This window comes from Homo sapiens, chromosome 8, assembly GCF_000001405.40.
Source record: "Homo sapiens chromosome 8, GRCh38.p14 Primary Assembly".
Taxonomy (NCBI): Eukaryota; Metazoa; Chordata; class Mammalia; order Primates; family Hominidae; genus Homo; species Homo sapiens.
Genome location: NC_000008.11, coordinates 91,180,315 through 91,192,921, shown reverse-complemented (window position 1 = coordinate 91,192,921; position 12,607 = coordinate 91,180,315). Strand labels below are relative to the sequence as shown.

General features: G+C 37.9%; 1 protein-coding gene across 3 annotated transcripts in view; it reads right to left on the bottom strand.

Annotated features, from left to right (window-relative positions):
- Positions 1–12,607, bottom strand: part of LRRC69 (leucine rich repeat containing 69) — a 116,639-nt gene that overhangs the window by 26,336 nt on the left and 77,696 nt on the right. For all 3 annotated transcript variants that reach the window (NR_148895.2, NM_001129890.2, NM_001354470.2), the window contains one exon: positions 3,299–3,400. Coding sequence is in view for 2 of the 3 variants with exons in the window: in NM_001129890.2 (NP_001123362.1) it covers positions 3,299–3,400 (102 nt within the window). In the remaining variant the exon portion in view is untranslated. The remainder of the gene's footprint in view (positions 1–3,298; positions 3,401–12,607) is intronic.

Genomic DNA, 12,607 nt, shown 5'->3' with positions numbered 1-12,607 from the left:
GGGCAAGGACTTCATGTCTAAAACACCAAAAGCAATGGCAACAAAAGCCAAAATTGACAAATGGGATCTAATTAAACTAAAGAGCTTCTGCACAGCAAAAGAAACTACTATCAGAGTGAACAGGCAACCTAGAAAATGGGAGAAAATTTTTGCAACCTACTCATCTAACAAAGGGCTAATATCCAGAATCTACAAAGAACTCAAACAAATTTACAAGAAAAAAACAAACAACCCCATCAAAAATTCGGCAAAGGACATGAATAGACACTTCTCAAAAGAAGACATTTATGCAGCCAAAAAACACATGAAAAAATGCTCATCATCACTGGCCATCAGAGAAATGCAAATCAAAACCACAATGAGATACCATCTCACACCAGTTAGAATGGCAATCATTAAAAAGTCAGGAAACAACAGGTGCTGGAGAGGATGTGGAGAAATAGGAACACTTTTACACTGTTGGTGGGACTGTAAACTAGTTCAACCATTGTGGAAGTCAGTGTGGCGATTCCTCAGGGATCTAGAACTAGAAATACCATTTGACCCAGCCATCCCATTACTGAGTATGTACCCAAAGGACTATAAATCATGCTGCTGTAAAGACACATGCACACGTATGTTTATTGCAGCACTATTCACAATAGCAAAGACTTGGAACCAACCCAAATGTCCAACAATGATAGACTGGATAAAGAAAATGTGGCACATATACACCATGGAATACTATGCATTCATAAAAAAGGATGAGTTCATGTCCTTTGTAGGGACATGGATGAAATTGGAAATCATCATTTTCAGTAAACTATCGCAAGAACAAAAAACCAAACACCGCATATTCTCACTCATAGGTGGGAATTGAACAATGAGATCACATGGACACAGGAAGGGGAATATCACACTCTGGGGACTGTTGTGGGGTGGGGGGAGGGGGGAGGGATAGCATTGGGAGATATACCTAATGCTAGATGACGAGTTAGTGGGTGCAGCGCACCAGCATGGCACATGTGTGCATATGTAACTAACCTGCACAATGTGCACATGTACCCTAAAACTTTAAGTATAATAATAAAAGAAAAAAAAAATTAACTTTTGTGCTCCTGGACCCAACAGTTCTGAAAATTAGAACAATTTCTCTCTCATTCACCACCCTCACAGACAAGGTTCTTGTCCTTGAAGGCTCTCTGTAAGACAGCTACCAGATTGGGTTAACTGCTAATTCAGCCTCCTCCACAAACCAGAACCTCCTCCAACCCAGGATGACCCTGTCTCCATTTCCCTCAGCTCCCTATATCCCCTTTCTGAACCAATATTGCAGCTGGGAGTCTGGAACCCAACTGCTTAAGTTGGCGTCATTGTCCCAACACTTAGTAGCTCTGTGACCTCAGATAAGTTATTTGACCTCCCTGAATCTCCATTTCTATATCTATAAAAAGTGGTCAATAATGATACCTATCTTTTTAGGGTTAGTAGAGGACTAAATTAGTTTATTCCTGTTAAGTGCTTAGAACAGTACCTTGTCCATAATAGGCATAAAATAAGTGTTAGCTGCTATTATTATACTGAAATGATTGATGAAAGGAGAAAAAATAAGTTATAAGGGAATAAAAAATTAAATACAACTGTTACTCAAATTATTTACTATTAAATTTCAAATGAGATGTTTTTCTGTTACAGAAGAGTAAGAAATAATGCTGTTTGTGAAAATATTCTGTGAAAGGGAATCTGAAAAAAATAAATCAAACTTTACAAGATGTCAGTTCTTTGGCCCAGCAGTTACATTTTTAGGGATAATATGCACAGGAACTAAAAATGTACTATGAGAATGGTCACTGTCCCTTTGCTTTTTGTTGTTGTTGCTTTTTGACTTGGGGGGGGGGGGGTTTGAGACAGGATCCTGCTCTGTCACCCAGGCTGGAGTGCAGTAGCATGAACCCAACTCATTGCAGACTCAACCTACTGGGCTCAAGCCTCCTGAGTAGCTGAGACCACAGGCACACACTGCCATGCCTGGCTAAGGTTTTTAAAATTTTGTAGAGATGGGGTCTCACTCTGTTGGCCAGGCTGGTCTCAAACTCCTGGGCTCAAGCAATCATCCTGCCATGACCTCTCAAATTGCTGGGGCCTCAGGCATGAGACACTGTGCCCAGCCTTGTATCTTTGTTTATAAAGGCTAAAAAGCCAGAAAATTATTAATAATTTAAACATCCAACAGTGGGGAAGTAGTTAAAAATATTATGATATCATCATATACAGAATACCATGTATTCATCAAAAAAGATGTCATGGTCTGGTTTTATTTTGTTTTGTTTTACTGATTGGAAAGCTATTCACAATAATTGAGTGGAAAAACAACTCTATATAGTGTATAGAGTTTGAACTCATCTTTAATTACAAAAATATTTTGAATGCATAAAAAGTTCTAAAAGAATAAATGTCATAGAGCATTAATTTGATTTCTTAGTATTTTTATTAACTTCTATTGGCTTTTTTTTGCCCTAATTTCTCTACGGGAGCTTGTATTACTTTTGTAGTAAGAAACTTTTTAAAAGTCAGTATAAGAAATTTTGATTTTCTCCATTGCTCATCTGTATGTTATTGTTTTCTGCAATAAACAGGTATTATTCATACAATAATTTAATTAAAAAAAAAAAAACAAAGTAAGCCACTGGACAAGACTGGATGTTTCCTGCAGCCAGGAAAGTTGATCCCATACAAATCCTAAAAGTCTTATGACAATCCTGCACATTAGCTACAGACCCAAATGGATCTCAGAAATCTAAATTCTTGATGGAGAATCATAGCCAAATGTGGGAGGACCTGTGATCTCTGACTTGTCTATTACCAAAGAGTTCTGTAATATGCTTTCCTGTTCCTTCTTTTAATACCATTAACTTGTTTTGCTGAAGTGAACACAGTTTCTGGATCATATTCATTCATCCACTAGGGATAGAGACGAGTAAAAAGGGAGTGAAAGAGGTAAAGACTACACTAAGAACAAATCAATACATCTTTAAATAACACTGAAAAGGCTAAAGTGAAAATAAATTTCTCTCTTTTATTCATCCTACAAAATATTTCCATTTCTCTGAATTAAGTCACTCTGGGAATCAGAGTGACTTAGGATTTCACTGGATTCTATAAGCAAGTCAAAAAGATTATGTATAGGATCCACATTGCCAATGGACTAGGATTACATTAATCATTTGCTGGCTTGGCAAGAATGTTTTAAAAGAAAACGCTTTAAAATTTAAATTGTGGCTTTAGTTTGAAGACTTAAGTTAATGAGGTAAGTCTTCACCTGTAGACTCCAGACGTTCTCCTGCTGTGTAGAAATCACTGGCTGCTGCAGGAACAGTGGGTTTCCCTCACAGTAGAATTCCCTCAGCTTCAGATCCTGAAACTTTTCAAACAAAATAAAAACCTTATTGCACAACAAAATAATGAAACTACCTCTAAAGCTACATTTTTAATAAAATTAAACTGAAATTACTTTATTTAGGACTAAAAATCCACAGTAAATACTAATGTGGATTTAAGTCCTAAATAAAGTAATTTAGGGGCACACTGGGGCATACTCTACTTATCAGAAGCATAAGAATTTTAATGGTGGCATGAATGGCCATGACCTTAGGGGTCACTGGTCATATCCCCATCCTGAACAACTAAGAAAACTTGTTTAGGGTTATAGAACTGGTTAGTAATAGAATAAGCATTAATAAATTGAGTGTTGGGAACATTTTGCAAATATATTTATTAGAAAACCAAGCATAACAAAAAATAACATCCTAACATACACCAACCTCTAGATCTCAAAGACTGTCTTATGATCCATTTATGTTTAATGAGGAAAGTAAAAGAAATAAAAGAACATCAAAATGTTCACATTATAACTTATTAGGGACCAAGAAAATATTACTAAAAATACAAAAATTAGCCAGGTGTGGTGGTACATGCCCATAATCCCAGCTACTCGGGAGGCTGAGGCAAGAGAATCCTTTGAACCCAGAGGTGGAGGTTGCACTGAGCCGAGATTGTGCCACTGCACTCCAGCCTGGGCAACAGAGTGAGGGGAAAAAAAAAAAAAAACAGAAGACGGAAGATATACAGTTCACAAGGATATATAAACTTCTATGGAGAAAGTCTAAATCCAATTGCAGTCTACAACTTCAGTAGAAAAAGAAAAGATTAAGAAGAGAATAAGAAGAGAAAAGAAGAGAAAAGACAATGTCTTACTCTCTTACAGAATATCTTGCCTTGCCTCCCAAAAACCCATGTAGCTTTCACAGTTAACCTAATTTAGGGAGTTATTTCTCTGAACCTAAATTTCAGCTGTAAAATGGGGACATATGACCTATCTTAAGTAGTATGCTGGTAAACCAGGTCCTTGAAATGAAGAAATAAAAAGCCTCAATTTGCAGTGAGTGTTGATTCCACAGTGTAAATCCTCCTGCTATAGCTGATTCAAGTCACTGAACACAGAGTTTGGGAAGGGATGTGCAAAATTAGCTCTTGTGAGCCTGGGTGAAGTGGCTCCACACCACTGCATCTCACAACATTTATAGGAAAATTAGAGATATTTCCATAATTTGAGACCAGAATTTGAAACGTAGCAAGCATGCAATGAATTAAAAATAATTGATTTTAAACATCTGGGATATCATGTCATTAGGTTTCAAAAGTACAGGAAATCTTACACAACATAGGCAGATGTTTAAATAAAATACAAAGCTCAAGTCTATGTTGGTATCACCTTGAGTCCTGGTCTCAAAACAGACATTCTAACTTTCTTAATTCAGTTCCTATGTTAACAATCTCATGGGTACAACCTAGAGTTGAACCCAATGGCAGCTCTAAGTCAGTACTCAGTGTGCTGAAATGAGAAGGGTTATTCCTTGTGCTTCATTCTATGTAACCACCATTCTTTCCTTTTTTGTCCTAAAGGATATCATTCCATAATTTATACTAAACTCACAGTCCTCTAAGAAAAAACCAATACAGAGAGATCAATGTAAAGGAGAAAGAAGGAATAAGTAAAACAGAAATAAGCAAGTGAAGGACACAGAATGATCTTAGAATATTAACATCTTTTAATTATCTTCTCCTTTGTGACCAGAGGAAAAGGCATTTAAGTGAACCCCTGAATAAGTCTGAAGACACTGGATGGTTGAAGGAGTCAGACATAGTCCCTTCAACTGTTTGAAGCAGAGAATAAGACCGTATGTCAGTTGAGTTTGGAGGCAGGGTATCAGTATGAATGAAGACAGGAAGAAAGCAGTGAAGGTTTGAAATGTCCCACAGTTTTCAGTAAAGGAACCTGGACAGAAATATATTATACAGAAGTGCTGAGGGAACCACTGTAATCTACATATTAGTGGTGGCCCCTGTCTGTACAATAATGTGCTTCCCTTTAGCATTCAGCTTCCCAGATCCAACATAAAGAGTCTGCAACATAAGTATGTCAGAAAGTAAAAGAATGAGCATGTTGTGTGTACTAAATATTAAAGGGCAGGACTGCTCCTTTTCAGTCTAGACTGGTTACAGGAAGGAATAACAAGACCAACTCTGATGGACTAGGAGAAAAGAAGATGTGGCAAGACATGAAGTCTCAATGACTTTGACTTAATGACTCATTGAGTGACTTCATGTCATTGAGTCATTAAGTGAAAAGATATGGATATAAAGCAATAAGATAGCTTGAACATACAAGGAACCAGTGGTCACATTGCCATACCAGACCTTAATTCTTCAAATTTAGAGCATGTGAAGGTGATGTCAGGATCTAGACTTGACTGTAGATATGGTTTGCTGAAGTGAAGACTGAGGAAGCTCCTTAAAGTGAAGGATTCAAGGAACTTTGAGGCTAAGATGTCTGTGTCAACTGCCTTCTTGAGTAATGGTCTCAAATATTTGGCTGTCCAATGAACCACTCCAACTGGAAGTTCCATTGGCACCTAAAGTTCTAAATTCTAAGCCTAAATTCATATTTCCCCTAAATTATGCTTTTTCCTTTTTCTCATCACCCACTTCAAGTCTCTCACCATGTCCTGTCAATTCTACCTTCTTAAAACTTTTGGAAACCTCTCTTTCCATCCTCCATCCCATCCACCTCCTCACCACCCCCACACAATCTTCTCCTACTCCTGGCCACACCCACTACCCACCCCACCTTCATTGGAGGCCTTTGTCTTATGTGAGTTGTTGCAATGGTACTTGAATTCATCTCAGCGCAAAATTTTGCTGAAGAAATGGTTTTCTGAAAGGAAAATTTGGTCATATAACAACCTTGCTTAGAACCTTTCAAAGCTCTCTTTTGTCCATAGGATAAATCCAAAGCCCTCATATGTCATACTTGGCTCTCCTTGGCTGACTCTCCAACCATATATCCTAGTAAGCCCCATCTTTACCCTTTTAAGCTTTCAGAGATACTTAGAGATCTCATGACAGGCCTGTATCTTATCTCACAGTTATGACTCATGCCATACCCTTTTAACTCATCCTACAACTGGGTCATCTCTTCAAAACTAAAATGTCACCCCTCTAAGCTTCTCCAGCCTCTATCGAATGTTTCCTTGTCTCCTCATTGGGCCTGGTATATAAATTAATCATATTACCTATAAATACTCTGAGACAATCATTGTTGAAAAGTCTATCTTCATCTATCAGGCTTTGGTCTCTTTAAACACTATGACTTACGTGACTAATGCAAGCTCAAAATTCAATGCCTAGTACAGAGCTGATGTTCAATAAATGATTTATGAATAAACAAATATCTTCTCAGAAACGCCAGACACATTCGCTTCTCCCTGCGCACTCAAGATTTGCGAAGGCCTTCTTCTCCAGACTTGGTAAATTTTTATAATTGTTCCCACAAAGCCCCAGGACTCAGGAAGAATATACAAATTTAGCAAGTCCTTCTGTTGCTTCAGACTAGCCCAAAGCAATGAGGGAGATCAGAAGGGGGCTAGATTAGCAGGAGCATTTATAAAGTAAACTGGGGGTGAGGGAGGAAGCTGAGATTTCACATGGACTCAAAAATAGAACCAATAAGTAGGGTATGACAAATCCCTGTGCATTCTTCAAAGCATCTCAAAATTCATAGCGTTACTCTTTAGTGAGAACTGGGATTTCTAAATAGGCTTAAGGTCAAGTTTCAAGGAGGGGGGAAAAGATTCAAGTGTGGGGGCTAAGGCATCCAAAAATTAGATTTAATTAGTAACTCTAAAGGATATTAATACTATTTGTGACCAATGGGAAATTCAAGAAACTGTATGATAAATTTGATATCTAATCAGAATTGTGGAGAAATTAGGCTGATGATATCATTTGAACATAAGAAAGAAAAAATATCTGTGCTGGGAACCCATGTCTCACACACCCTGCATGAAAGGGAGGGAAAATAGTCAGAAAGTGACCTAGAGTCATAATCCTTCAGTATCTGCTGAATACTTCTCCCAAGAGAAGATCCTTAGAGGGAGGTGAAGAAAAGAGGCTAAGAGCCAAGCCTGGAAAGAAATAGATAACTAAACTCCCAGGCTATAAACACACACACACACACACAGATAGAGAGAGAGAGAGACAGACAGACAGACAGACAGACACTGAGACCTTCCTCATTCTAGTCAGGGAGAAGCAGATGAAGGCCCCCAAGCCCAGGCCCTGCCCTGCCTTTTGTACCCTAGGCCTTAAAGCCGAAGGGAGAGTCCTCTTCAGGCTTTTCCATTTAGACATCAGCATAGAAATAACTGATCTGGGAGGGCTTATTTGTGTCACCGCACAGTCCCCACCCCATACCTGCTTTAGACCCCATTTCTGCCCTTGAACTACCTGAGAACCAGTAGCCCGAAGAGGCCTCTACTTCCACCCTGCCTGTGTGTGCCAACCCTAACCATGCAATTGCTTTACAATGCAAATCATACCACTTCACTCCCCCTCTTACAACCACCCAGTGGTTTCTCATCTCACTCAAAATGAAATGCACACTCCTCACCCTGCCTTCAGGACTTGGTTATGATTTGGATTCTGCACTATCTCTTTGGCCTCATCTCCCAGTACCTGCTCTCTCACTCTTTCTCCACTTCTCTCTTGTCTCTCTCCACTGTGGTAACACTGGCTTTCTTCCCAAGCATTCTCCACCTTGGGGCCTTTGCATTTCCCTCTTCTTGGAACAATTTGGCCTCAGTTTTGTCCATATCATAAAACATCACAACAAAATGGAGTAAGATCTTTAGTGGTTGAGAGGGAAAGTGCTTATGACCCAAAGATTCAATAACCAGAAGGTTTTCTTTGTTGTTCCAAAGCAACATGAAGACCTTCTCACATGTGCATGAGATATGCACCTTAACCAAAGAAAATTACTCATGACACAGCAGCTGAAAGAGAGTAAGAAAGAAGAATTTGAAGGATACATTCTTTTAGCCTGTCAAAACACAAAGAATAAAAATTAGAACAGCCACTGCCCCCATGCAAACAAGATTAGAGGAATCTGGAAACAAATTGGCAATGTCATTTAAAAGGCTGAAAGTTATTCTTACTCTTTGAGTAATTCTTATAGGAATTTCTCCAAAAGAAATATTTAAAAGAGACAAATGTTTATGCATAAAAGGTATTTCTCAGAATTATTTAAATTCGGGGTGGGGGGATGAGTGGGTGGGGTTTTACTCTGTCACCCAGGCTGGAGTGCAGTGGTACGATCTCAGCTCACTGTAGCCTCCACCTCCTGGGCTCAAGCTATCCTCCCACCTCAGCCTCCCAAGTAGCTGGGACTACAGGCATGTGCCACCATGCCCAGCTAATTTTTTGTATTTTTGGCAGAGATGGGGTTTCACCATATTGCCCAGGTCTCGAACTCCTGAGCTCAAGCGATTCACCCAATTCGACCTCCGAAAGTGCTGAGGTTGCAGGTATGTGAGACACGTGCCAAGCCTCAATTTTTTTTTAAGAAACCCTTTTCTATGTTTAAAAAAAATGAATGGTAAATTATGCTATCTCATGCCTGAATCCTCTGACACTCAACCTTCTCGTTTCACATATCTTACAAAACCTTTCTGGGTCATTCTTGCCACCAGGCTTCCTTGCCTCTGTGGTGCTGTTTGCAGAGTCACACCTCAGGGGAGACAAGAATCACCATAAATTCATCATCACCAACTTCCAGTATACCCTCAGTTGTTGCCAACAATTCCAACCTAGTTAACATGCTCTTCTAACTAAATTTTCCTTGATAACTCATAATTCTTTGCCCAGTCATGAAATAGTGCTCCCCAGAGCCCACTACATTCTCTTTGCACTTTATCTTCTTCTTTTTTTTTTTACCCATATTCATCAAATTGATTAAATCTCTATGGCAAAGACTCTGGTTCCACACTCAGTACGCAACTGCATACTCAAAATATTCACATGTCAAACTCACTGTTTCCAAGATTGAACTCATGATCTGCCCTCCTAAATTTTGGTCTTCTAGTATTGTCTATCTCAGCCCATAGAAAACATACTAACTCCATCACCATTTTCAAATTTACCTGTTAAATATCTCTTAAATATGTTCAGGTCTTTCCACCTTTCCTGCCACTACCTTAGACCGAGTTATCTTCATTTCTTATTCGACTTCAGCAAAAGTCTACCAGAAATCCACCCCACATTCCCTCTAGCCTCCCTCCAGTATGTCTGTCATTCTTCAGATGGAAAGATCCTTTCAAAATAAATCTGATTATGTCACCACCTACATAAAACTCTGAGATTTCCATTGTCCTTAAAGTTCAAAATCCTCAGCATGCCCTACATTCCTGGGCCACAGCCTGCTCCCATACAATCTGTGAGCCCCAGTCACACTGAATTTCTTCCAGTTTTCTGAACATTCATGTTCCCTCTCACTCTAGGGCCTTTCTGCATGCTATTCCTTCTGTCTGGAATGTATCTTTCCCCTTTACCTCACTGATTGTTGTTCGTTCTTCAGCTGTCAGCTTGTGTCACCTCCTCCAGGAAGCCTTCCCTAGTTTACTCACTTAGTCAGGCTCCTGTTGTCTATTGTCGATCTATGTTCCTTTCATTTAGTGTGCTGATTTCAGTTTGTAATTATACATTTAAAATGTTAATTATTTGGTAATAACTGTTTCTCTACACGCTACAGCTCAGCAAGAGCAGACCCTCTATGGTTTCCTTATCATTCTATCTCCAGTTCCTAATGCAAGGCTTAAACATATAATGCAAAATGTATAGATTTAGAAAGATGGACTTGGGAGTCAAATTGCCTTGTTTGGATTTCAGCTCCATACTTACTAGCTGTGAGAACTTGAGCCACATTACTAAACCTCTTTAAGTAAAACGGGAATAATAATTATAGGTTCCTCATAGTGGCTAATATGATTGTTAAATGATGTAATCCATACAAAGTACTTAGAACAGTTCCTGTGGCAGAGTAAATAATTAGTATTACCTGTTATTATCACAGTACGTAGTCAACAGTTTCAACCATTAATAATTTAAACATGTATCATTTATTTTCTATTTTGTATTATAATGTTTTAGTAAATATTAGGATTAACTATCTTATGCCCCTTAAAATTTATTCAAAAATTAAAAGGTAATAAATTTAATGATGTTTACAAGAGATTTTTAATGACAAAATTGTCCTGATATGATACTGAGTAAAGTAAGCAGTATGCAAAACTGTTTTTAAAAAAATCTTTTAAATCATAAATATTAAAACAAAACATAGAAATGTGCTAAAATATTAACAGTTGTCAATGGGTTGTATAGTTGTAATTTATTTTTATGCACTTTTATATTTTCCTAAATTTTCCAATTCAGAAAACTATGTTTATAACCAAAAGAAATACTAGAAAACCCTTTCTTCATTTAAATGTTGGAAAATAGACCAAAAATAGGCCCCCTGATGTGAAGAAAAATGTGCCTGTCAATATCAAAGCTGATAGTCTTTTATTTTTCCATATTTTATGTAAAAGATCATCATCATTGTTCCCTCTTAGGTGAGTTAATGCTTAAGAGTAAGACAAAAATCCCCATTTTGGGCCTCCACTGACTATCTTTAAAGTCTGTACTCTGCTTTTTAACAGTCTAGTTACATCCCTTGAACTTTACTTATTTTGGACACTCCCTTCTCATGGGGACCATTGCTGCCAAGTTAAATCATATGCCTAATTCCATTCATCAATTGCTTCTTTCTCCTATTGATGTTTCTAAGATACTCCTCTTCCTATTAACTCTGCATTGTCTAAACTCTACAATGTCTCTCTTGATACTTAACTAGGTCTTGCCAGTTTATTTGCATGGGTCTTATCTCTTTTCCTTCTAAATAATATCCTGGTCATATAAATTGTCTTTGTGTAATTGACCTACACAACTAAAGCAGTAAATCTATCTGACCACTTAGTTTGCATGTATGTTATGTCAGTTCCACATGTTGTATCTCTGATATCTAAACATGCCACAAGATTATAATGAAATTTCTCTATATCTGTATGTGAAAAAGATGAAATGACTTCAATACTTTCTCTCTCCCCACTAAGTAATTAGGAGGGGAATGAGGAAGGATGGAATTTTAATTCCACCTTGCCTTGGTTTCATCACACATTTATATTTCACTTTTCATAGCCTAAATGTGTTCATAATGTGCCCAGCAATGACTCTTCAGTTATATAATTATTGTCTCTGATAACAACTTTATTTCTAAATCTTTTATACAAAAAAACTTCTACCAATTCTTATCTTTTTTTCTCCATATATTTTCTTTAAAATAATTATAAATTGTTCTACTCTTGAATCTTAATTCATTCTTTTCAGCATTGGCACCTAAATCACCATAAAAATGTCTCAAACAGTTATACTCAGATACTATACAATAAAGATTTTAGAAAATAGCCCCTTTGGACAGTTCCAATGGGCTTATTTGCTTCACAACTGGGCAACAGCTTTTGACTGATTCCAGAGATTTTTTCCTAGAGGTATTTTATTTTATTTTCTTCTCTTGCCCTTTCACTTTCTACACAATTATCCTTGTTTTCTCTCAGTTATTTTGTTCTTCTTCATTCTTTCCCCACTTCCATCTCTCACTGTCATTCTCTTTAGCCCCCTTCTTATGAATACCTAAGACATCAGAACATAACATTCCCAGGTTGTGTAGATTCTTTGCCCTATGCCAGACCCTCATTCCCTCTAAACTACCCTGTGCATTCTCCCAGTCCCTCTTTATTTTCCCTGCCTTCATCTTCCTATTTTCTGAAGTTTTGCCCTCAGCCTACAGAGCTCAAAAAGAAAATAATGATAGAGTACATTTTGTGCTGTTAGTGTACTGTGGTAACTTTAAGATATATCCACAAATTATTTGTTACTGCTCCTTTAAGAGGTAGAGCCTAATTCTCCTCCCCTTGAGTGCGTACTGGACTTAGTGACTCACTTCTAATGAATAGAATAAAGCAGAAGTGATGTGCACAACTTCAGAGATTAGACCATAAAAGGTATTGCAATTCCTGCTTATTCTCTCTTCTTTGTGAGTCACTTACTCTGGGGGAAGCCAGCTGCCATGATGTAAGAATATTCAGGTAGCTCTGTTGAGAAGCCCACATGCTAAGCATCTGGGGTTTTCTGCCAAAAG